At 37.3% G+C, this 27,110-nt stretch overlaps 2 protein-coding genes across 10 annotated transcripts in view, besides 1 other annotated feature; one reads left to right on the top strand and one right to left on the bottom strand.

Moving 5' to 3' along the window:
- The window catches only part of B3GAT2 (beta-1,3-glucuronyltransferase 2), a 100,382-nt gene extending 87,168 nt beyond the window's left edge, over positions 1 to 13,214 (top strand). Inside the window, exons 3-4 of one of the 2 annotated variants that reach the window (NM_080742.3) lie at positions 7,915 to 8,063; positions 8,144 to 13,214. In NM_080742.3, coding sequence (NP_542780.1) covers positions 7,915 to 8,063; positions 8,144 to 8,230 — 236 coding nt within the window. In that variant the 3' untranslated portion in view covers positions 8,231 to 13,214. Of the gene's footprint in view, positions 1 to 7,914 lie in introns of both variants that reach the window. The other variant, XM_047418209.1, reaches the window with a different exon arrangement.
- Positions 7,878 to 27,110, bottom strand: part of SMAP1 (small ArfGAP 1) — a 194,133-nt gene continuing 174,900 nt past the window's right edge. For 4 of the 8 annotated variants that reach the window (XM_047419227.1, NM_001281440.1, XM_047419228.1 and 1 more), the window contains 4 exons: positions 17,229 to 17,353; positions 12,863 to 13,034; positions 11,664 to 11,971; positions 7,878 to 9,693 (listed from right to left, as the gene is read on the bottom strand). In XM_047419227.1, coding sequence (XP_047275183.1) covers positions 9,559 to 9,693; positions 11,664 to 11,971; positions 12,863 to 13,034; positions 17,229 to 17,353 — 740 coding nt within the window. In that variant the 3' untranslated portion in view covers positions 7,878 to 9,558. Of the gene's footprint in view, positions 9,694 to 10,378; positions 10,565 to 11,663; positions 11,972 to 12,862; positions 13,035 to 17,228; positions 17,354 to 27,110 lie in introns of those variants that run through there. The other 4 variants (NM_001044305.3, NM_021940.5, NM_001281439.2 and 1 more) reach the window with 3 other exon arrangements.
- Positions 12,241 to 12,390: a silencer, noted in NCBI's record as "silent region_17323". NCBI's record gives its function as "represses an Ori minimal core promoter by ATAC-STARR-seq in GM12878 lymphoblastoid cells {active_cell/tissue: GM12878}" and the evidence as "EXISTENCE:reporter gene assay evidence [ECO:0000049][PMID:35858748]".

Below are 27,110 nucleotides of genomic sequence, written 5' to 3'. Positions count from 1 at the left end.
GTTGTTTCCTGACTTTTTAATGATCACCATTCTAACTGGTGTGAGATGGTATCTCATTGTGGTTTTGATTTGCATTTCTCTGATGGCCAGTGATGAACACACACAACTGTTAATGCTAATTAAATGAGTTTAGCAAGACTGCATTGATACAAAATCAATATATGAAAATCAATTGTATTTATATACACTAGCAATGAACAATCTGAAAATTAAACTAAGAAAATTTCATTCACAATAGTGTCAGAAATAATAAAATGCTTAGTAATAAAGTATGACTTACACAGGAAACTATAAAATATCACTGAAATGAAGAACTAAATAAGTGGAAAGATATGTTCATGGATTAGAAGACTTAATATTGTTATGGGTCAGAAGACTTAATATTGCTAAAATGGCAATATTCCCCCAATTAATCTACAGATTCAATGCAATCTTTATCAAAATTCTGGCTGCCCTTTTTGTAAAAATTGACAAGGTATTTGTTTCTAAAATTGATATGGAAAGTGATGAACTCAGAAAGAAGTTAGGGGATTTATACTTCCCAATTTGAAAACTTATAAAACTACAATAATGTCATCACCAGATGGAGCGACATGCACCTTATAGTCCCAGCTACTCAGGAGGCTGAGGCAGGAGCATCCCTCGAGCCCAGGAGTTTGAGACCAGCCTGGACAACATAGGAAGACCCTGTCTCAACTTAAAGAAAGCAAACTACAGTAATACAGTGTGGTACTGACATAAGGATAGCCATATAGATTAATGAAATAGAACTGACAGTGTAGAAATAAATCATTTATGGTCAGTTGATTTTTGCCAAAGGTTCTAAGACAGTTCAATGGGAAAAAAAGTCTTCTCAAAAATTGGTTCCCAGAGTTATGAATATGCTAAAACCGCCCTTAATCATACCATATAAAAGGACAAGTTTTAATATATGTGAATTATATCTCAATAAGGAGGGGTGGTGGGCAGGAAAGGTGGAAACACACAACATTCCAAAAGGCAGTGTATGCTTTGCTGGGAAGAGGTATGAAAGGAGAGTTGGCCGGCTCAGAATTAGAGGAGGTCCCACACATATCTTTCTTTCTCCAGCAAGTTCCATGACTGCACTGTGTGTATATACTTTTTAATATGAAAGTTGAAATCTCTTTTTCTTATTGTTTAACGTGGGGGGGGAAAGAGAGGCTTTTGAAATTACCTGATAGCTATTGGTAACACTAAACATGTGTCAAGAGCCCAATACTCTAGGACAACTACCCAGAGTGATTATTACACAGAAAAAGCTGTTAGTATCTTTCTTGTGGCCAAACTATAAAAGTCTTGTTGCCAAAAGTCATCGTTTAGAAACTGGAACTAGTTCTTATTTGTAACAGCCTTGCTGAGATTAGATGATGTATAGTTGGAGAAGAGAGAATGTGGCAGTGGGATGAGCCTATGGAGGTGAGGCTAAATTGATACTTACACAATAGAAGAACTGAGAAGCACTATTGATACTGTTAACTGTGGCTGAAGGAAGAAGAGGAGGCTTGCTGTACTTCTTCCTTTCCAATATTTCTGCCTTTTTTGTGGGGGTGGGAGCCTTATTTAAATGGCCAGGATCTCCAGGACTTTGTTGAATAAAAGTCAAGAGCAGCCATCCTTGCCTCATTCCAATCTTCAGGGATTTAACACTCAGTCTTTCACCAATTAAGTATAATGTTGGCATTAGGTATTTTTGTAGATGTCCTTATTAAGTTGAGAAAGTTCACTTCTAGTCTTAGTTTGCTGAGAGGCTTTTATTTCTTCTTTTCATTATGACTAGATGTTAGATTTTGTCAAAGCATTTTCTCCAGCTATTGTGATAGTCAGATTTTTTTTTTTAGTCTGCTAATATGGTGAATTACATTGATTGATTTTGAAATTTTAAACCAACATTGCAATCTGGAGATAATCCTCAAGTGGTCATGATTTATTGTCTTTTTATTGTTGAATTTGATTTGCTAAAATTTTGAGAATTTTTCTGTGATCATGAGGATTATTAGTCTGTAGTTTTCTTGTAATGTTTTTGTCTGGTTTTGGTATCAGGGCAATGCTGGTCTTACAGGATAACTTGAGAAAGATTTCCTCCTTTTCTATTTTCTAGAAAAATTCATGTAGAATTGCTGTCATTTCTTCCTTAAATGCTTGGTAGAATTTACCAGTGAAGCTCTCTGGTCCTGGAGGGTTGTGTGTATGTGTGTGGAAGATTTTAATTATAAACTTAATTTATTTGATACAGGGCTATTTCACATTATCTATTTCTTCATGAGTGAGCCTTGTAGCTTGTCTTTCAAGGACTTTTTCTATTTTGATCTAAGTTGTCAAATTTACTATCATAAAAAGTTGCTTATAATAGCCCCATATTATCATTTTAAGGTTTGTAGAACCTATCTCTTTCATTTCTGAGGCTGGTAATTTATATCTTCTCTTTTTCCTGATAAGCATGGGTAGAGTTTATCAATTTTATTAACTTTTTTTTCCTAAATGACTAGGTTTTTATTTCACTTATCTTCTCAATTGTTTTCTATTTCTACTTTAGTCGTTTCTGCTCTCATATCTATTAGTATAGTCGTTTTCTCCATTTACTTTGGGCTTCATTTGCTTTCTTTTTCTAATTTATAAAGGTAGGAGCTTAGGTTATTGAATTCAGACCTTTCTTATCCAGTAAGTGCTTAATGTTTTCTAAAAACTAGTTTCCCATCTAAACACTCCTTTAGATGTATCCTACACATTTTGATATGTCTTGTTTTCATTTTCATTCAGTTAACCACTTTATCATTTCCCTTTTGATTTCTTCTTTGGTTTGTATTTTGCTTAGAATTATATTGTTTAGTTTCCAAATATTTGGGATATTTTCCAGGTATCTTTGTATTTACTGATATCTATTTTAATTCCACTGTAGTCAGAAAACATATTTTGTACAATTTAAATTATTTTAAATGTATTGAGACAGATTTATGGCCCAGACTATGGTCTAACTATCGTGATAATGTTCCATGTGTACTTTAAAAGATTGTATTCTGCTGTTGTTGGGTGGAGTGTTCTATAAATGTCATTTAGGTGTAGTTGAAAATGTTATTTAAGTCTTACATATCTTTCCTGAGTTTTCAAGTTTGTAAATTTTTCAGTCGTCATTTCTTCAAATTTTTTTCCCTGTCTCCCTCATTCATTCACCTTTGACTCTGTTCCTGTGACTCTGTACGGTGTGTGTGTGTTGGTCTTGCCTTTTCTGTTTCATTTTGGTAGTTTCTATCATTATGTGTTCGAGTTTACTCAACTTTTATTCTGCAGTGTCTCCTCTGCTGCTAATCCCATCCAATGTATTTTTCATCTCAGACATTGTATTTTTCATCACTGAGGTGTCTTGGGCATCAGGCATTTTGAATTTTATGTTGCTAGATACTGGATGAGAGAGACATATATGTATACACACAACCATACATAAAAACACATATATATGTAATGTTATACTATATTATAAATACATATGTATTCTTGAGCTTTGTACTGGGACACAACTGAGTTAACTTGGAAACATTTTGATCCTTTCCAGGCTTGCTTTTGAAGTTTGTTAGGCAAAACCATCTCAGCCTCTAGTTTAGGGCTAATCAATTTGACCTTACAACAGGCACGATAACCTTCCAAGTTCTCCTCCAGGTGCTCCAGCTGTTACTAGGTAGCTCCACTCTGGCTACTGAGAATGGGAACTAGTCCCCTCCAGTAATTGATTCACCTGCTCCTTGCCAGTGGTTCTGTACCTGGCCTGAGGTAGTTGTGTGAGCATTTGCTCTTCATACTCAGTTGAAGAGTTGAGGAGAGCTGTCTACAGATCAGCAGAGTTCTTCCTTCTCTAGTACTCCACCCTGCATATCCTAGTTGTCTTGGCCTCCTCAAATTCTCAGTTGTTTCCTCAATTCAAGGGGACTGCAGAGCTTTCCGGGTTCCCCTCCCTGTGGTGTAGCCTGAAAACATACTTCAGGCAGGAAGCTGGGGCAGTTGTAGGGGTCACATTTCTCTTTTCTCAGAGATCTCTGTCTCATGTGCCTCTTTTCCAATGTCTGGAAACTTTTTTCAATCATTTTGTCTGCCTTTTTGTTATTTAAAACAAGTGAGGAAAAACCAGTCCCTATTGCAATTTTGTCCAGAAATGTAAATAGCTTGTTGGACTTTTAAAGTCTTACAAATTTTCTACTCAGTAATCAGTAATCATATATGGAGGTAGGCCCTATCCCTCTGCCTGAGAGGGAATAGTTATTCCTGAGTATCCATAGGGAATTGGTTTCAGGACTGCTACTCATACCAAAATCCATGGACGCTCAAGTCCCTGATATAGTGTTTACATATAACCTAGGCAGATCCTCCTGTATACTTTAAATCATCTCTAGATTACTTACCTAATACAATGCAAATGCCATGCAAATTGTTGTTATACTATATAGCTTTAAAACTTGTATTATTTTGACTGGCTGCTGTAGCTCACGCCTGTAATCCCAGCACTTTAGGAGGCCGAGGGGGGCAGATAACTTGAAGTCAGGAGTTCAAGACCAGCCTGGCCGACATAGTGAAACCCCGTCTCTGCTAAAAATACAAAATTAGCCAGGCCCACGTCTGTAGTCCCAGCTACTCGGGAGGCTGAGGCAGGAGAATCACTTGAACCCAGGAGGCAGAGGTTGCAGTGAGCCGAGATTGTGCCACTGCACTCCAGCCTGGGCAACAAGAGTGAAACTCTGTCCAAAAACAAAAAAGCCCTATTATTTCTTGTTGTATTGTCATTTTTTTGTTTTATTTTCAGATATTTTTAATCTGAGGTTAGTTGGATCTGCAGATGCATCTGCAGATACAGAGGGTGACTGTGTATCCTCCCCACCTAGCTCTGCTGAAGAAGTCAGGAAATCCTGCCTTCTCAGTGAACAATCATTTTTATTTGCATTTTTTTTTTTACTCAGCTGACCAGGGCAGAAAATCCTACTCCCATGACTTTCGTAAGCATCTCCAAAGTAACCAACATCTTTAAAGATAACGAATCTCACTAAAAAAGGAAAGATATAATACTTGAAGTATAAATACTTGGAATTACCCAAGAAAACATCTTAGGTTGGAAATCAATGGTTTAGGATTCCCTTTACTGTGATTTCAGAGGGGAGAACTCTTTAACTCTGCCCCCAGCTTCACAGCGGGTCAGATTCCCCAAAAGTAACCCAGGGGTTGACCTAGTTAACATGCAGTCTCTCCTGCCAGCTGTGACCTGCTTCCTTTCAAGAGATCACTGAGCAAAGGAAATTGCGTTAGCTGATTGTGGGGCATCTGAATTGTGCTCCTCCACCCCTTTGTATTAGAGAATAGAAAAACACTTGGGTACTGTGGAGAGCCACAGGCTAACATGTCTCCAGGGTGCTGGCCTTTCAGGTGCGCACCATTCTCTAGTGACACCAGGAAAGGAGACCTTGCTGCAAAATGATGTATAGCTTCACAACTGGCTGTTAACTTTACATAAATTGTAGATTTTGCCATGTCATTCTGTGTGAAGCGCTGGAAGGATATTCCTGTGCTAAGGAAAGCAACAAAAGAATCTGAATCCTTCAGTGGTCGTGATGGTTAATGTGTTAAAGTCTTAGGGGAAAATGAAGGAAATCAGATCCAGGTGGCTCCATATCATTTCCAGAAATCACCTCTGCACAATTTGGATCCCATGTTTTTGAGAGAATGGGGAAATACAACCAGTATCCTGAAGCCATGTGAAGAATGTATCAGGAGTTTCAGTATGACTGAGAAGGGTAGGCTCTCATCTGAATTTAAAAAAAAAAAAAAAAAAAAAAGGATAAAGCTTATTTATAAGCATGTGGGAAAAAGCAAGAAATCTTTTAACACTAAAATCTGATCTGACCTGTTGGAAAGGACACTACGTTATCAATTTGAACCTCTGGCTTTTGTTGAGGTGTCTGGTGGTTGTCCTAGTTGTGTCTAAGGAAGGCTGTGGACTTGTTACCAGAGTTGCTATCACATGTAGGTGTCCTGGCTTTGCTACCTGGAACTTTCCCAAACCTTTTACATCTGTCAACCAGTATTCTTTCAGCCATAAATGGTGGCTGGCATCACCTGCCCCTCATGATCACACTGACAATAGTATTTTTATTTATATATTGTAGTATCTTTTGAACAGTGCTTTGCAGTCAGTGGAGTCTTTCCATACCTCAATTTTTCATCAAACATTGAGTTGAAGTGTTACACTTCTCTCGCAAATAAAGAAATGGGGAAGTTAGAAAATCAAGAAAGGTTAAATGAGTTGGCCAGTGTCCCAGGGGCAGGGACCTAGGCAAAAACAAAAGGCTTCTAATTCCAAATCCAGTATTCTCTGCTAAAATGTGCCACCTCCCTCCCTTTAGGGTTGGTGGAGGTATCGATACTGGGGCTAGTCCTACAGCTAATGCTTTATGATTCTTTGTTCTGCTTCACTCAGCACCTGCTGTACCACGTTATGTTTGTAAGTGGCTTAGTGTTAACTTTTCTCCAAAAGGCAGCAGGGTCTGGAACAGGAGACTGGCCCAGTCTGGCATCTGGAGAGGATGGTGGTTGTGGTGTTTTCACAGCTCCTCCATTACCACCTGGTATCATTTAGTATTACTTTGCAAACTGAATCATAAATCAACTCATTTAATGTAGAGAAGGGCAAAAGTTGCTGAGAAATGTTTTGTGGGTTGGTGCCCGGAGCTTCAACTCTGGGAGGGTGCCTGACTTGACAGTATCACCTTAGTCACTAAGGAAAAAGAGATCCAGGGCTTCAGACCTTCAAAACAATTATTACTTGCTGAGATGGCAAAAACAATTGTAGAGTGCTTCAATGGCTGAGCTTTAAACAGTTTGTTAAACTACAGATTAAATACGAATGATTCTTTTTTCTTTGAGACAGGGCCTCATTCTGTTGCCCAGGCTGGAGTTGCAGTGGCACAGTCATAGCTCACAGCAGCCACAACCTCATAGGCTCAGGCAATCCTCCCACCTCAGCCTCCTAAGTAGCTGGGACTACAGGCACGCACCACGTGCCACAACACCCAGCTAATTTTTGTATTTTTTGTAGAGACAGGGTCTCATTATGCTGCCCAGGCTGGTCTTGAACTCCTGGGCTCAAGAGATCCTTCTGCCTTGGCCTCCCAAAGTGCTGAGATTACAGATGTGAGACACTGTGCCCAGCCAGTAATGATTTTTCGTATGACCAAACCATTGAAGAAAATTTACACTTATTTTTGGTAAATGAAATACCAAAAAAAAACTTTATCAGATGATGGCCTGATATCTCCTGCACTGATTTCTGCCCCACATACCCTTTTTAGATTGAACCAAATTAGAAATATAAACCAGATGATTAAAAATTAGGTATGATTCATTTTCCAGCTAATCGGCTTTACTTCTGTTGCTCCCTCTTCTAAATGCAAAATGAATCCAAGCAGTGCTGGATTTAAGGAAGCATACATAATTAATATTACAGGGCAGGCAGGAGAGCTGGGCATGTGGTCTCATACCCCACATGTAGTTAGGTAAGCATGTATGTTTTTCAGCTGCATTTATTTCTTAGTTATTCCTAGTGGCAAATGTGGGGGGTTGATGATCACTGTGAAACAGCAGCTTATAAAATTCACCCTTTATTATCAACAGACTAAACTTCCTATTTTGCGTAGATGCTCCTGTGCACGCCTTTATTTTACACGGAATGTAAAATATTGTAATGACTGATTTTCCTTTGAGACTGTAATACAGGTAATGTTCCTATTCAACTTTGTAAACCAAGACCTGACACACAGTAGGTATTTTAAAAACTGTTTTGATGTGACCAAAATTATACAGAAAAAAAGAGAAGTACACCAGGATTTTAAAGTCTCTTTTTTTTTTTTATTTTTCACAAAGGATTTGCTGTAAGTCTTCAAGTCATTTTGTCCAATCCAAAAGCTGTATTTAAGCGTCGTGGATCCCAGCCAGGGATGCAAGAATCTGACTTTCTCAAACAGATAACAACAGTCGAAGAACTGGAACCGAAAGCAAATAACTGCACTAAGGTATTCATTACACTTGTGCTGCCCGACCTCGAGTGTCACCATGAAGAGTGCGCTACCCAAGCTATTTCCTTCCCCTTCAGGTTCTCGTGTGGCACACTCGGACAGAGAAGGTTAATCTAGCCAACGAGCCAAAGTACCACCTGGACACAGTGAAAATTGAGGTATAAATTGAAGCAGCAACTGGTGCAGTTTGTCCAGCCAGTGGATCCATATGGAAGAGGATGTTTGGAGTTTAGGCTACAGAGCATTCAGGTATTGTTTGTTTTACTTCAGTACAGCAGCCTTTCTTGTCATCTGATGGACATCTGTTTAAATGGAGCTTGTCAGTTAACATAAGCTAATTGGATGGTTGGTACAAAATGTATGTTTTGTCTTCATTTGTTCTGCATGTTTTCTCTACAACAACTAAATTGGAAGATTTTTTTGTACAGTGCCGATACTGCAAGATACCACTCTTGAGTATATATTTTTTCTTTTTCTCCAATTTGCCCTTATAATTGGTAGACTTGAACAGGTTGGTAGACTTGAACAGGTTTTTAAAACAGACAAGTATTTTGTCAGCTAAACGTTCCTGATGATTCCTGACTTTGCAATACTAAGTAATTTTTGGAAGGTTAGTGGCAGTATACATCATAGGAAATAAAAACCCACAAATGAAAAGGTCTATGGAGTCATGTTTAATGTAGGGAAATAACATTTTGTCAATACTAGGCACCATAAAATGTAAACACAATTACTGTCATAAACCTAGATATACCTTCAAGGATTGAAGATTGAAAGTGGCTTTGTTTTAGTTAGTTACCCTGTTTGCATATAGTGCAGAAAAAGGTCTTCATGTTAGCACTATGTACATTAAGAAGAGATCCAAATTACAAGAGAGGCAGATAAAATTTGAATTCTTTAAGCATTCATTAAACGAAGTTTTGGAGTAACATCCACGTTTATCTTCCTTTCACTAATCACGTTCCCTGTTAAGCACATCATAACAACAGCACAGTGAAGTGAATGATGAAATAAGAGCATTTTGATACACTAGAAAACAGTGCTCAGTGAGACATTTACATTCTATTTATATGATTAAACATTTGATCATACAGTACCTTCCTACAGGATTACTGGCTAATTTTGGGGTGGGGTTTATACTATTAGAGGTATTACTAACATGATAACTACTTCCCTTATATGCAAACATTAGAGCTATAATTTTATTGAGAGGAAAACTGATTTTGCAAGTTGAGCAGCTTCTCAAATAATGCAGTACATGAAATCATGGGAAATATGAGCAAAGCTGCCCTTGACATAAAATGATTTATCAACCTGCTTTTCACCACATCAAATTGAATCAGTACAGACCAACACGGTCAATCAGATCATTCTTAATATGAACAAATGGGTAAAAAGAAAAAAAATATGCATATGAATAAACAGGGGAACTAGATGCGTTTCAGCAAGGAATGTCAGGTGGTAGTTCTGGATGAAACTTGTATTGCAGTTTTCATTTCCACAGTTGTGTGCTGAGAGTCTGACCTGATGAGCTTCCAGACCATCCTGCTGTTGTGCTGGAGGGCTGGCCAAAACCTGCAGTAGGGGTTGCACTACTGATACTCATGCCAGCCATCTGCTGATTCATCTGTGAAACATATAAAAGGCTTAGTTCAAGAGGCTTACTTCACTTTTAATTCTTGTTTCTTTAGCCACACAGTTGGTCATTTTTTCATTAATGTGACAACTAGTCCAAGCACTGGAATAAAAACAGAGTACCATACAAATATTTCTTAAAGCAAATAGCTACTTTGTTCCCTTCTTTATCTACTTTCTAGATACAGTTTCCCCAAAGATTAACCACAACTTACTTAAAAAAAAATACCAAAGCAATCTTGGGATTTTAATGAGTCCGCTACTCTAACTAACTTTCACCTACACTAGGATATTGTGCTTTAACTACTAAGGAGTAAGAAAATTTTAGGAAGTAAAATAGTCTAAAATTATCCTATAAACTTTGTATGATAGATATTATTCTCTATTAAAATCTTATATACTTCCTAAATATTTTTAAAGTGGTCATAAAGCATTTATTTCTCTCGCTGATCTAACAACATAAACATCTAAAATTTATTTTCATTGTATGCAATAAAGCATAAGATTACATGTATTTTTCTTCAAGACTGGAGTCAAATATATATATATATAAGCATCTTAACCCTGTGATTCTCTTACTTCCAAAATTGGTGATAAGAGAAGGAAAGGCAAGATTTACCATATAGTGAGTGGGTTTAAAACTTACACTCAGAGTTAGACTGTGTTCTTAATTTAATACATTTGACTTGACTTATTTACAGTTTCAAAGACACTAACATAAACTACATCACTAATCAGGCATAAGTGTCTGAAGAAGCAGATCACGTCTTCATACCTACTAAAGGACATTTTAACCACCTTGTCATTGGCCAGTAGATTGCACTGATGGAGTGCTGGAGAACAGCATCACCCTTCTGCATTATCTGGAAGTAAGAGCCAGTATTAACTCCTTCCTGGTTCATCTAGCACCTTAACCTGAGCTGGGTGTGCTTCAGCATGTTGACCATGTGACTGACACTTAGCACATACAATTTTTTAGATTCCCAGCGGGTAGAGACCAATGTTTTACCTATATTCTTGTAAATGGTGGTAGCAAAATTAACTGTGATATATAGTGATTGTGCTAATGTTAGAAATCACTCTAGACTATTCCCTGAATGCTCTAAAGGTAAAACAAGTGACCAAACAGAAACCAAGATTGCCAAAATGCTGGAGGAACATCAATGGGAAGTGTAAAAGGAAGAAGAGTGGGAGCATGAACCTCTCTAAGAGCCTTTGTCTGTGCAGCTAGAGAAAAGTCAGAACACAGCACCTGAAATAGAAATGTTCTATCTCAGCTCTAACTTAGGTAGAAATAGGATTTTATAATATGAGGGGATGTCTGGTTCACACCTTATGGGAATTGAATCTTTTTGTACTCTTTTTAAACATAAAAGTCATTATAGGGTATGTAAAAAGAAAATACAACTTTACAAAGGTTTCTCAACAAAAAGAATTTTTACAGAGCCATGGGGCAGTAATCATCCGACCTGAAAAATAGCCTTAGATCCCTCATAAAATAGTGCTTTGAGAATATGAGGCTAGATTTTTATTTTCTAATAAAAGATCCTAAAATTATTAGTGAAGCTAAGTTGTCTAAGTGGACTGTAAAAATGTCCCACCAGCAAGCTGGATAAAGCTTAGTGCTAATCTCAGAGGTGACAGAGAGGGAGTCTCATGATGCCTGAGATAATTTCTGGCCATTAGTGGTGTTCACGTTACAGTTACATTACAATTTGAAATGAAAGATGTTTAACCTTTTTTTTACAGAATACTCTAAAATAGCGATAATAACACATCATTTGTCTATCTGATACAACTTCATAATATTTATAGATACTTTTGACCCTATAACATATTATCCCTATTGAATTCTTTCTGCCAGATCACTAGACTTAAAAAAAAAAAAAAAAAAAAAAAAAAAAGATTTAGAAAATAAATCTGGTTTGATTTGGGAGAAGCTAGAAAGTAAATGACCCCTACCTGTGAGAGGCTCCACTGGGGCTGCTGAGCTTGCGGCAGGCCAAACTTACTCTGGGGTGCACCCATTTGTCCCACCATTCCTCCTTGGGGGCCAACAACGTTCTGAGGAAGTGGCATCACACCAGTTTGTGCATTTCCCATAAACCCATTGGGCATGGGCATGCCCACCATCATGCTTGGACTCTGTCCCATCACATTTCCTATAAGGCCAGGAGCTGCAGGCACAGGCACGCCCATCGATGGAAAGCCCTGAAATGCAGCTGGTGCTTGTGAGGTAAATGGTATATTTGTGGGTCCCATAAATACACCTGCACCACAAAAAGAAAATGAATGAAGACAGAGCTATCACGTGTAGTTGCACTCATCTCTATAATCACAGAAAAATTGCCTTTCTGAACTACTCACAGCAAACATTTTAATTCCAGTTTGGCTGCTCCTACTACTCAGACCAACCCACACCTAAACCCTGAGAGCTGGTTGTTTCTAGGATGCAGACAAATCAGTTATTAACCTGAGTAAATTTAATTAAGAAATGTAAATCATATGCAACAGCCACACAAAATATCTTCCACTGTGAAGACCAAACTATGTAGCATGACATCATACACTGTTTTATTGCTGATTTGTACCACTGGTCCCCCAGTACGAAACAGGGAAGTGAGAGCTGACTATATCTCGCTTCAATAGGTGTAGTGGGCTGCCCAACAATTTTAGCTCACATGTGAAATGCAGCTCATTATTTTAAAGGAAATGGTGTGAAAGATTAAAACTCTGTAAACAATAAGGCTTATGCTAATATTTTGTTATGATTACAAAAAAATTCATAGATTTTTTTTAATCCATGTGGTAACTCAAGACTGTTTACCTGCAGAGAAAATACACTGTACGCAGTCATAAACTTCATGCAAATCGTTTCAATAATTCATCAAAGATAATCCATGTTCTATAAGCTTGTGAAACAACATTTAGTGATCTATGAACAGCTTGTTAATTCCAAATAAAGTTCTGTGAATCCTGTACATGCCTCTTAATTTTTTAATTCTAATGCTCATTCATTTCGGCTTCATAGTTGTATAAACTGCAACAACAAAAGCACTCACTACATGGAACAATAAAAGATATATAATTGATCTTATTATATAATTACAAAGGATGTACTTCTAGTAATGTCACTGAAAGCAGATATCAAAATTCATTACCAGGAGTACTTTGCTGTTGAATGGTTCCTGTGCCATACAGAGATAAGATGGAGTCTTTGGAAAGTTGTTTCTTTGCCACTTCTTCTGATTTTGTAGTTTGCTCAGTGAATAAATCTAGATCCCCAGATGTTACTGTAGACAGGGTTGCAGCTGCTGGTGCAGAGGGTGTCCCCTGAGACAAACACCAAAATAAGCTATCAAATTCTGCATAGTAAAGCGCAGCTTATCCATTACTTAAAATCCAAATAAAGTTATAAAATTAGATAGGAATCAAACAATTGTAGAAGGTAAAATGGTGCCATTCAAGAGGATCACTTACAAGCCCAAGCCCATATAAAAACATCTACAATCAAGACAGTACTTCTTAATTTGAATCTGTTAATGTAGGTAGACTGAAGCATTTTCACAGTAAGTTGCATTTACTACCTAAGGTGACACCAAGTTTTTGCTCATCAAATCCTGGGGCTCAACAATAGTTAGAGATGAGAGGACCACCACTCCATAGCAACTACTGCTTCAAGAAACTGGTATCCTTTGGAATAAAGAACATTTCTACAACTACAACAGACTGTAAGAGGATTTGCAATGGCTACTTAAAAGGTTTTATCTTTTCAAAACCTGTATCATAGGATTTTTATACATCTAATCAGTTTTAACTACAATATTAGACTGCTTCTAATCTATCCAGAAATGAAGGTACAGCAAAACTTTGACCATCTATTGTCTGAACATATCCTGCCCTTCACTTTTGGACAAGGGGGCAAATGAACACAAATACAAATAAACATGTAGATATTTAATATAAAATATTCTCAATCTCATATCTTGCACACACTATTATACAATCACAACTGCTAACCTTAATCATCTCCGTAGTCACTAAACATTAAATCACATTCACATGTTATATGGACTTGTTTTGAATATGAAGAGAGTTTCAAAGAATTCTATGAAGACTAGTAAAAGCTGGCTGATCCTTCTCAAACTACAGAATAAGGTGAGTTGCAAGTGGAAATTAAATTCAAACATTTAATGTCCTCCTAGAACACCATGCAATAAGTTACCATCCAAACATTGTACTTATAAACTACACAGTATTTTGAATCTTATGACTAAGCAAGAATTGTAAGCGACAAAAAGCCGCTTAATTTTCCAAAAATTCAAATATGTAAGAAATTAGATATCATGGAATACTAAATATCACAATACCCCTGAATAAAATATATCTAAGCTACCAATGAAGCAGCAGCAGATCATAGAGCTAAGAGCATGGGCTGGAGCCTGTCTGCCAGGACTAGAGCCTGCCCCCATGACTTTCTGTGGTACACTCAGACATGTTACTTTACTTCTCCTTTCAGTCTCTCTCCTATAAACTTGGGATAAGCTTAATGATCACAAAAGTGTTCTGCACAATGGTTGGATTAAGTACTTGGTGTTTATTGTTAATATTGTTTATAAAACAAAGCAACTACATCACTAAGTGATCTTTTTATCACACTTAGTATCTGTTCAACCTAAAAGTCTGCTGAAAACCCTGGGGTCTATTCCCTGTGGATAAGAGACAACTATAAGAAAACCCAAAATGTTGGGAAGCTATGATTCCACTCTCATAGTAGAGCAGCCTAATATTCACATACTGTAAACATCATAATATGAAATATCTACCTCAACAAGGACACAGTCTAAAAACAGCCAAACCAATCAGCAGGACTAGTAAGCACTCAAATGTCCACTTACTTTCTGGTGCTCCACTCGCCAGCACTACGACCCCAGGATAAAAGGGAAACAACTTCTGCCTCTCATTTTACACTTCAGGAAGCTGCAGAGCATCTAATCGAAGGCTCTCTGGCCTTCTGGGACCCAAGGGCTTAACCAAGAAAAAACAGGACTTAGCCCTTGTGTATGTCTAGGTACTGTTGGTATATGTATATGTATATGTATATGTATATGTATATGTATATGTATATGTATATGTATATGAAAGAACAGGAAAGGGGTTTCTCCATGTCAACAATGAAGACTCTGGAACTGTTCCTCTCCAGCCCCCAAAACACAGGTACACTCCTGTCAGCTAAGTATTTCTAACTAACCCCTTTAAGAAAGACTAGACCCCAGACAGGTAAGGCAGATGGTAAAATCAATCTATTTCATATTCATAAGTTAGAAAATATTGTACTAGAATTTGTATATACTCAGAAAATAACACAAGGAGTGAAAGAATACAGGGTTCAGAAGAATTCAAAATCTTGGTGTCCACAACTAGTTTGAGCTCAACTTCACATATTAAAAACCCACCAAAATGACTAAATTACATGGTAGCAATATATGCATAGAATCTGTAGTTTCAGCACCATCCCCCATTTTCAAAGGCATTATTTTGAAAATATGTCTGGATTTTTTTTTTTTTCCAGACGAAGTCTCACTCTTGTCCCCCAGGCTGGAGTGCAATGGCGTGATCTCCGCTCACTGCAACCTCTGCCTCCCGGGTTCAAGCAATTCTCCTGCCTCAGCCTCCCGAGTAACTGGGATTACAGGCGCACGCCACCACGCCCAGCTAATTTTTGTATTTTAAGGAGAGATGGGGTTTCACCATGTTGGCCAGGCTGGTGTTGAACTCCTGGCCTCAGGTGATCCACCCACCTCAGCCTCCCAAAGTGCTGGGATTACAGGCATGAACCACCATACCTGGCCAAATATGTCTGGATTTTAATCTCTACATGAAGTTTAGACGAAAGATACTACTGTTCACCAAATATTTTACAGGGCTCAACATAACTTGTACAGTCTAACCAGTGCTCAACATAACAGTGTTCCAAAAGAAGTATTAGATATGATTTTAAAAATTAACCCTATGTCCTACCAGGTAATGCTCAGAATGCCTAAAGTCTGAAGGCCAGCTGCCACCCCTCTTAAAGCCAGAGGCTACACTCCTTGTCATGGCACTACTTGTGCTTAAGAATTAAACGAAGTCTGCATTGTTCTACTTGCTGCTTTAATACAGAACAGAACACGTGAAGTACACTGAAACCTCAGAGGTGGGATCTAACTCTCTTAAGCAGTTGCAAAGCAACTGTCAGACCCCAGTGACAGTGCTAAATAAGTCTAGCAGGTATAACAGCCGCACTACAATGCTAGACTAAAAATAAATGGCTTTTCACATTCTGGTTGTCAAATATCCTAAATGCTTCTTTCCAAAGACACAATATTAGACAATTTTGTCACATGTACACCTATGCCTGTACCAATTTGTAAGGTAATTAATCTTAATTGAAATAACAGTAACAATATTCTCTTTTTTATGTGTGTTACAGGAGGGGAAGAAGGGGCAAAGCCATAAAATAAGCTATTTTGCTGAAAATAAACACTACTGCTGCAGACAATTTTGATAAAGATCCATTTAATCATTCCTAAGAAATCTACTTGTTCCATTCTAATGGTAACTATATAATGACTATCATAATAACAATAAATATGTGCAACAGAAATATGTTCCTAGCCTTATAAGACATTGACTTTTTCTTATTAAAACTGTCTACCAGAACAATTCAGATTTGACTCAGTTTTTCTATGGAAAAGGAAATATTTTATCTCAAAAATTATGCTGCACAAACTGCTTGTTTATTTGTAAAGTATAAACTTAAGATAGAATCTTAATGTTGTATGCTTAAGAGTAGTTTGTTTCCTGAAAGTTCATACAGTTCACATTACAAAAATTCCATGTAATGTTAAGAAGGCAATTCAAAATTTCTTCACCATTAATACTTTTATTAAAATATCCCGATCATTATTATTACTGTTCTAGATTTTTAAAAAATCACTTAAAAAAAAAAGCAAGGTAGATTTTAAGGCTAACTTAAAACATAATTTACCTTCATTTTGCCTTTATTTTAAAAAGACAGTACTAAATTTGCTAGAACTTCTGCAGTCAATATTTACAAACAGCCACAGTTTTAAAAGCTCTGAAGTAAGTGACCTTGTTGATCTCAGGAAAGTTGAGGTAGTCAGGGTTTTTCCACTTGTTCATTCTAAATACTGTTGTTTCCCTAAAGCAAGGGTTAGAACTTTAAAGACAGTGAATATTTTAGGTTTTGTGGGCTATACATTCTCTGTTTTTAATATTTAACTCTGCTTTTGTAGCAGGAAAGCAGCCACATACAGTACCTAAACCAGTGGGAGTGGCTGTGTGCCAATAAAACTTTATTTGCAAAAACAAGCTGCTGGCTTAGTTTGCTAAACTCTAGCCTAAAGAACAGGAGACTTTTAAATCAGTTACTGCTCAGAAACAATTCTTCCAAAATTGAAATTTTGAAACTTTTCAAAAAGGAAATAAGCAGTGACCATATAAAACCATATTCTTATCACATACCTGAGCTGGGGGCATGACAGTTGCAGGTAAGGGATTAGAAATCATCGGTCCAAAGATGTCCAGATCATCGTTCAGGGGTGGCACCGTTGTGTTCCCGTTGGTCACTGGTGCCACAGCAGGGCCATCTGAAAAGAATATAGATTCTCGTCTTAACGTAGAATATCTTAAATTACTTGAAACATGGCATTATTTTAAAAATTGATATATGGTTAAAAAAAAAGAACAGTTCAAAAGTTGGTAAAACATTTGTTCTCCTTCTACCTACCCCCGATCCCCTTTCCCAAAGAAACCATTTCCAGTTTTGTTGATTCCCCCAGAAATATTCTTTATCCACTGGTTTCTAGGTATATATCCAAACCTCCTTTTTAACCAATGGTATCATACTATTCACATTATTTTGCACCCTAATTTTTTTTAATAAGATCATAGATTTTTATGGTGCTTCCTATATGCCAGGCACTGTTCTGGGTACTTCACATGTATCAACTCATTTAATCCTCATAACCTTATGAGGTAAAAACTACTTTTGAGATAAGGGGCTAAGGTGGAATTTGATACCACACTTATTAATAATCCCTCTCCATAAATGTATGTGTGAGGGTGTGTGTGTTTTGGAGATAATATCATTTTTACCTACCATGGAAATAAGTTTTGATGATCTAAAACATCTGAAATGTTATGTTTTGAAGTCACAACATGGAAGAAAACTAGATAGAAAAAACAAAACACACATACAATACTTAAACTGATTCTACAGGAAGCATCCATAAAACTCCAAAATAAGTCCTTTATTTATTCCAGCACAGCCACTTTTAGTGATGGCTGTACCAAGCCACTGCAATGTACAGGGAAAGGGACTCTGACAGAGCTTCCTACTTAAAAATTCAAATTAAAAAACAGTTTTTAAAACTGTAATTTCAAGAATTCAAAACCGGTTTATTTTATATCCCCTTTTTATGTTAGTGAACATTTATAAGGGCTGGGGGCAGGAGATGAAGTGGAGTGCTATAGGTCGAGTTTGCATGCACAGCACTCCAGGACTGGAACATCTCACAAGGTTCAGTTTTCTGTAACCACAACCAAGTTAACAGTTCAGAGCATCACAACTCCAGCCTCTTGAGAGTTATAGCCTAATTAACCTTCTATCTTAACAATTTACAGTCTCATTTGATATCTCTTTGGTAGACCATACTCTCATCAAAGGGAAATCTGTCATCTTTGAAAACCTTTTCAACAATGAATGGGGTATCTTGCACAAAGTAGATACTCAAATACTGACAAATTCAATGGAGGATCTACCATCTCATTCATATTTCCACCACAATCCACAGAAACTTAGAGAGTTCTTGTCTTTTTCCAAGTACAACTAGAGAAATTGGTATCTTTTATTTCCCTGTTTAAGCTTCAATTACAAAGAATTATTAACACATAGTCACGATAAAATATTTTTTGCTATTTAATTTACAAAAGAGTGTGTAAAGCCCAAATTAGGTTAATCTGAAAGTTATTCAACTGCAAATTTTTCAAGTCATTTTCAGTGATATCACATTATCACAACCATTAAAAGAAATATATTGATATGTATTATACATATCTATATCAAGTACTATGGACAATTAAAAGGTGAAGAAATAAAACAATGTACATAGATTATAATTTACAATATATAGAATTTTAAACTGAGACAACTATCAAAGAATTAAGACTCATACATGAAAATACTTTTTTTCATTTCTAACCCTTTCAAATGGCAATATTCACTTTAAAGTTAGACCTCCTTAAAGCGCTACTTTGTTTTCCAGTTCATTCCATACCCCATTTACATGATGTATAGTACATTATAAATATCAGCCAGAAATAAAGTGATATTTTAAAGGGACAAGGCATTCTAGGTTTAAAAACACAACTAAGGAATATCTTTTTTGTTTGTATCTACACTTCAGTAAAGGAAGTCCAATAATAATGACATATAAGCCAGTGGTGATTTAACTCATGAGCTACAGAGTTAGAGATGGGCAAACATCGTCATCAATTAGACATGTTTCATTCTATCACATGAATTGAGGAAGCACTTTATTAGCTGCAAATATAATTATATATATAAAATGTATATATACTTATATATGTACAAATTTTAAATGTTTATAAAATTTAAACTCAAATAGAAGCACATGTCCTCTAAAACAATGTAAACTGCAACCAAAATAAAAGGAAAAAAAACGGTGACAAGCTGAATATAAGCAACTATTTCCAGTTTTTCCGTTATAGTTGTTTTTACTTTATTAAGTAGTAGTTAACAAAATCAGACAAATTTATGGAAAAAAAAATTTAACATGAGAAAATCCCGTTGATTTTTTGGCAAACTGAGAAAATACTATCAATTGCTTTTTACCACAGCACATGTCAGTCTAGTTCACAGAACACCAGTGTGCCCAGGATGCATTTAGTGAGAATCACAAAGCGCATCCACTAAAAACCAATGCTATGTCTTATTACTTTTATAAACTGTACAGCTTTCCGAAATTTTAAGTCTGTTCTACTTAGTACCTTAGACTCCTCTCAGAATATTTACTTATACTTTCAAATCTAAACCACATTTGGTATCTAGCAATACATTTTCTAATCCGTAAAACAACACACAGCATATTACTTGGTTTCTGAAGTCTTATTTTACCTTTAACCCCCTTTAGTATCACATATGTGACTAATAACTTGTCCAGTGTCACAGAGCAGGAGCAAAGTCTTAGATTGTAATCTTATTCAATGTTTACTGTAAAAGCAACACATTCTTGTAAAAGATTCAAACCATGCAAAAATGAAGAAACTAAAAGTACCCACCATAGATGGTGGTGACAGTTGTGCAATGTGAGTGTACTTAATGTCACTGATTATACATTGTAAAATATTTAAAATGGTAAATTTTATGTGTGTTTTACCACAAGTTTAAAAACAATGTATATAGGATCATACAAAAATAGTCTTCTTTATATAAAATTATGTATGTGTAGGTAGGGGATTTGCATTCTGTGATACTGCATGTGCCTATAATAATTTATTTATTCAATGTGTGACTCAAGAGAATTTAGGTAGTTTCCAGATTTTCACCATAAAAGCAGAACATTCCTCTAAATAAAGTCTACACAGCTCATGTCCCTTCACTGCAACATAACTTGAATTCTGTTTTTACCACTGCACTATAAACAAGTCCATATTCTCTTTCCATGTGTTTTTTTTATTATTATTACTATATTAAAATTAGCCTCTTGAAATTTCTGGCATTTCACACAAACAACAAAGTTGTGATCTCTCTGTAACCAGCCACCATGGTTAATGGAGCTGTCATGAAGTCAATTCACAAAGTAAGTCTGAGGGACTTCAGAATCCTTTTTAGAATGAGACAGAGGAAGCACCTGCTTAGGGACAGCAATCTTTGTGGCAAGGCTGACACTGTTTTCAATTGATTAAGGAAGACTTTTTCATACCCCCCCAAAAACCTGAGGTAAGGAACTTTCTGCCAGGCCTCACCAAGATTTTTCTCTACAGAGCATCCTTGTGATGAGCATAGGTGATTGCTCTCTGCTCTCACCATCTGCAACATACCTGCCCCTCTTTTGTCTCTACTCCATCTTCTCCCCATGTGATTGATCCCTTAACGGTGGGTTCTGGATTTCACAGCCATCAATTTTTCTAGTTACTATCAAAGCTATGCATTCACAGAATTGTTGAAAAAACAAATTCTTAACCTAAATGAAAACTTCTCAGCCTTGCAAAATTGGTAAACACAAGTTCCCAGTGGGTTTTCAATAGTTGCTAATTTTACTTACAACATTTGGCTTGCTTAACACATTATTTAAAAGGGATTGCTTCAATTCATTTTGAAGGTCATTGTGTTTTTAATTTTCAGTGTTTAAAAAAGACAATTAAAGACTCGTTATCATTACCATCATTATAAACATCACATTCATCCTGGATGTTTTTAAAGAATGTTTACATGTTATCATTTTTGTCCCGATGCAAGATGAGAAGGGCATCTCCTCCATTATCTCCAGTTATACCAACTAGGACACAGAGCAATGAAAAGACTTCCTCAATGTCCTTCACCTTTTTAAGCAGCAAAATTTGTACCAGAACAGAGTCTTCTCACATCTAGACTAGAGCTCTTTAAACCACATTTCATCAAAAGCCATGTAATTTCAACTGCGCCTAATTATAAACAAATCACTTAAAGTTCTGAAAATTAAAAAACAACTTTAAAATAGTTTATAATTATTTGTACTAAGTTTGAGAAGCAGTTACTTAAACAGTCTAAAAATCATTTGGTGCCACACTCAAAATTTTCCTCATCATGTCCCCACTCCACTATCCTGTACTGACACCAGTATCTTTTCAGTTTTTAGGGAGGGATTCAGGTGGATATGGTCATCAGTGAGCAAACTGGGCTCCTGGAAGCAACTGTGGGATATAATCAGGCCTTGGTCAACTAAGAATATTCACAAATTATTGGGAGTTAAATGCATCCTTTTGATCATGGGCCCACTAATAACATGGTCTTTGCTGATTAATAAAAGCTCAGAGGCCACAAAATCAAGAAAATACCAAGATGCTGAAAACAGTTATTCAGATAAATAACTTTAACATTTAGAAAGCATAAAGCTTATTCAAATTAAATAGTGTAAATCACCATAATGTGAGAAAAACATTTAAATCAGCATGGGTTATACCTTGTTGGTGCATGCACACACATGTAGTCACACAAACACACACACACACACTTCCTCTTTCAGGGGAGAGAGAACATCAGACCACACAGTGCCTTCTATGAGATTAGGGGATGTCTGTGAAAACTAATCAGAATTCACCGTAGACATGCACCTTGCTCAGCTACGGAATGATGGTGGGAGCAGCAGGAGGCAGCAGTCCCCCTTTAATTAGTATGCAGAAACAGCTGGTGGACAATAAAAATAATGGGAGATCCAGAGTACAAGAAAAGCCTAGGGCAAATGGAGGAAATTCAGCTGGGAACATCATAAAGAATGATAATGAAGCACAAAGGACCCCTTGAAAAGGCAATGAGCAAACAGAAGAAATTAGGACAATGCAGTAAAATGAAGATGGGATTTCCATCTTAAAGGCAAGACATCAAACCTACAGTTAAGTAGCTTGTGGTAAGTATTTTCTTTCTTCATTACCTTAAGATGTTAGGCTAGTGTCTTATTTGGGAACTGAATTGATAGATGAATGTTTTTAACTACCCACATATGAGAAACCGACAGGAAAAGGTTAAAATGTTTTCAGCTGCAGAAAAAAATTGTTAAAATCAGTGCTACAACTTCCAAGAACAGAAGGCATTCCCAGCATGCATTCACTGGCCCACTTCACATCATGACACTGAGAGATGTTAGAAAGAGGTAACATTTCAAATATGACAAAGTCATGAGGGCCAGTCTCTTGTCACCTAAAAATCCTCAATTTGGGAAGTGAGCCAAATGACTCTATTAACTGTAACTATACCAGAATTCATCTGACGCCAATAATCCAAATGAGTATGAGGTAAATAAAGTATTTTTAACAATATTGTCTTCCCCTTGGTGCATTCCAAGTGCCTTTAAATTTATAAACTAAAACTAAAAGGAAATAAGAATACAACACTTCATATTTTAATACAAGTTTAACCACTAATATTTATTTAAGTACTATGTGCCAGATACTCTGATCAATAAAGTATCTCAGTTTAATCCTTACCTCACCTGGAGGGAATCTGCACAGTAAGCCTAGGACTTCAACACGGGTCTCAATGGTGCACCCGGAAAACTCAACTGCTATAACCAGTTTGAGAAATGTTTCCTGGTGTTCTCAGGCAGAAACAGGTGCCCATTCCCTACCCAGAGTTACAATGATTTACATGACCATTGACCTACCTCCCTAAAATAGTGCCCTGAGGGCAGGGGCTGGCTTCACTACCCAGCCCAGGCATAGTACTTGGCACAAGCTCCTTTCTGAGGCACAGGATGACTCCTGAGCCCACAACACCCAGCACCACCTCCACTGCAGGCCATACCACCCACAGCGGGTCAGTCAGGCCTACCAACTCCACCTCCAAATGTTCCGCTAATCCAGGGGCTGCAAAGTAGAAGCCTTCCCAAGCATCTTATCCTTTTCATTTTTAGTTTTTATGGCATCGGAATGTTCTTAGGCTGAACAGGCATGCCCCAGTACTCCAGAAGCCTCTTTACTCCTCGCTGGCACCACTTTTATAGCCCCGAGCCATGACCAGTCCCACCTGCTTCGTCACCAGGAAGAGTGCAGCTGCCTCCTTAATTCAATGCGTGGATTAAGGCACATACTCAATACATGATTAATTGAAATGCTTTCCAAACACAGGTTATGGGAGGATTTCTTGGTGACAGCAGAGCCATGGCGGAAAACAAATAGTAGTTCAGGTGATCCTACTTTTGTGGGAGAAAAGTGAAATAATGACACTATTTTTGAAAAGTACAAGCAATCTCCTGGCTACAAATCCTTTTCAGTCCTCTTCCTACTTACCACCAGCACATTTAGCCCTAGCTGATCCTTCTCCTGTAAAATCGCCTCTCTTAGAGTTTACAGCCACATTCTCCTTGAAGACTCCACAGCCATTGCTACCAATATCCTGGACTGGCTCCTCTTCCTCTGTTTTCATAGACACAGCTTCCACACAACTATCTGCCTATGAGATTACAACTGCTTCTTAACTAGAATCCCTACACCAGGGCTTCCCCTTTCCAGTTGAACAAGTACAGTGAGGCTGGAATTCTTTCTCTCAATCATAAATGTGTCTCCAGCGCCCCTCTGTCCAAACCTCAGTGCATCACTGTTGTCACGGCACCTCCCAGGACTATTCTACCTGCTACCTCACTGGTCGGAGCCATATCTTACCCTCTTGCTCATCTGTTCCAACTGTCCTAACATAGCACTTGTGTGCCCTATGATAAGATACAGATGGGTTTTAAATCATAAGATCCTCTACAAAGGTACAGCTCTAAAAGCTGCATTTATCTGGGCATTTGCTTATCTTTTCCAACTGTTATTCACTCTAAAGGTGATGTCCGTAAAACATTAGATTTTACTTGAAATAAGTTTGCATAGTACAAAATAAACTTATTTTATTCTCCTCTAGCTGCAGCAAGAAAAAATCAACCTCTGAATTAAGGAAAATAGAATTTAAATTGGAATTTTAGCATTAATCCAGATTTCAAACTGAATCCTCACAACCAGTTCTCTTAGATAATCCCATCTTTTCCCTCAATGATAATTCTGTCTTCCAGTTTCTGGACAGCAGCCCCATCCCCCTCTTGCACTACTATAAACACACAGAGCTGCATCTTCTGGTGTTTACCAGTGTTCCATGAACTCTGCTGGTGCTCAATAAATATTAATTGAATTCATCCTTTACTTGAATGTCAGAGGCATTAGCTGATCATAATCTATTTGCACAAATAAGAAAAAATGTCAAAGAGCAACATGAGATTTTATGTATTACTAATCTAGTTTAAGGCAGATAAGAATGTGGCAAATGGCTGTTTTTCATTACCATTTTTGACTGAGCATGAACCTTCTACCTGTAGTACACCCTTGCTACAATGAAAACTCCCAAATCTAATTCTTCTTCCATAACTAGTGAAGCGTCATCATAACCAGTGATGAAATTAAAGTGGAAACAGCACTGTTTAAAGAAGGCTGCGTCCATGATATGAAGTGATTCTCTCCTTAATGGCAAAACTCCTTAAAGCTTTCTAAATTTTCACGTTGATCAAAGAACCCTTTTTATTTTCTACTCAATAAGCCATTTAAAGTTTTCTCCTTAATTTTTATTATTACTTGGAATTCCTTTATATTAAAACACAAGACTTGATTTGTAACATCAACTCACATGTCTTATTTTAGTAAATTCAAGTCACAAATGTCCATTTGAAGCATATTAAACTTTTCAAGCTTTAAGTTGTTTTCAATTTGTTTAAGTGTGCCTGAGAGCTAACTGGAGCTATTTATTTTTATTTTTCAGTTAATTTTTTATACAGTTAAATAGTATTTAGGCTAATTTGCTAAAATGACTAACATGGTCTTAAAAGATAATCCTAATCCTCTTACTGTATTTGGCCCTCCCTTTTCAAGCCACTACCAAATGCCAGTCTACTGTGCCAGCAGGGAAATCTACTACACATTTCTACAAACCAGCCAACTTTTGATCAGGGGATTCTCTTATGCACAGGCACTATGATGCTCTGTAAGGGGAAGAGCCCCATGGTGCTACTGTCTTTCAGAAGACACCACACACACATGCACACATGTGTACACACACACACGCACTCTGATTTAGAGCTATCTGAAATAGCTGAGAAGTGGTATAAGGAGGAAGCTTTGTAGAACTGATTGTTTAAAAAATAAATATATATCAAATCACTGCACCATTTTATGGCCTCAAAAAATAAGAAATATATAAATATGAAACCAGATTGTATAACCAAATTTCTTTCTAAATGTTTAAAATGGTGATAAACTAGATTCCTGAGGCCACCCAATTTCCTCAGTTCTTTTAGTCAACTGCAAATCCATCAGAGGCCACAGACCATGCTTTGCAATCACTGTTTCCCTCTATCTCCCTCTTTCTCTCTAATGGTAGTGGCTATTAAAGGAATAACCCAGCAGGAGTCCTACTGTGTGTTACTCAGCATAATTTTTGAGTCCCTTCTCCACACATTCCTTCAAAGGCCTGTACTACCTCTTGGTGATCTCCCATGACCTGGTGTTCAGGTTATAGTCTCAGCACAGGACTGTGTGCAAGTTACTGTGCTAGGTGCTTCACATAAAGCACACCATTTATTCTGGCCCTCAGCTACAGAAGAGTTCCTATTTCCATTTCCCAGACGAAGCTGCTAGAGGGCAGACAAAACCCAGGTACTACCTCTAAACCAAGTGTCCCACCCCCATGACTTAATACTGCCATCTATTGATTTGATGAATGGGTCCAATGTCTATTTCGTGTATAGCACAATCTCACCTGTTAGAGTTTTATTTTCTATCACAGCTCAACATAGTGTTAAGAATCTGAGCCCCGAAGTCAGACTACTCAGTCTAAATCCCAGTTTTGTAATCTACCAGCTGTGTGACCTTGTGCAACTCACTTAACCTCTCTGTGCCTCAGTTTTCTCTTCTATAAAAGCGAAATAATGATAGTTCACCAATCTCAGGGCTGTTGCAAAAATTCAATAAATAAATATCTGTCAGCACACAAGACAGCCCCTGGCATCTAGTTAGCAGTATCTGATTATTAAAATAATAAGATAATTTAATACTTGGGTTAGATGCCTTGCTTTGGTTCATCTTAAGAGCTGAAATTAGACTTTGGCATTAAACACATCTAGGTTTGAGTCCCAATTCTATACAGTACAGCAGCAGTGCCTTGGAAATTAATTTTTGTTAGCTTATTAGTTGTTAGTTTTATTATTAGTTAATTTTAAAAAGGGGGGGGGGAGTGTGTGTGGGTGTGTAAAATACTCTCTACCCTAAAGAGCTGCTGTCAGGATGAAATGCAACTGTGCCAGATACCACAGACTGCCAAAGCCCCATCTGGGCGCTTCTTGCTGGCACAGCCTACCTCCATTCTATAGGATGAATACTATTTTCCTAGCCTCTCTTGCAACTAGTGAGGTAATATAATCCAATTCTGACCAAGCGTACCCTGGGAATCCTGCTGGGGAATTTTCTGGCAAGTTTTTACTCCTGAGAAAAGAAACTGGTAAGGAAAAGCCATCCTTTAGGCGTGGTCCTGAGGATAGGATGCTGCACCTTCCATGTGTTGGCCATAAGGTGACAAGCCTCCAGAGTAAAGCCAGTGCTGTGATG

Source organism: Homo sapiens, chromosome 6, assembly GCF_000001405.40.
Source record: "Homo sapiens chromosome 6, GRCh38.p14 Primary Assembly".
NCBI lineage: Eukaryota > Metazoa > Chordata > Mammalia > Primates > Hominidae > Homo > Homo sapiens.
Note: the sequence above shows the minus strand (reverse complement) of the source record. Positions and strands in the feature narration are given on the sequence as shown.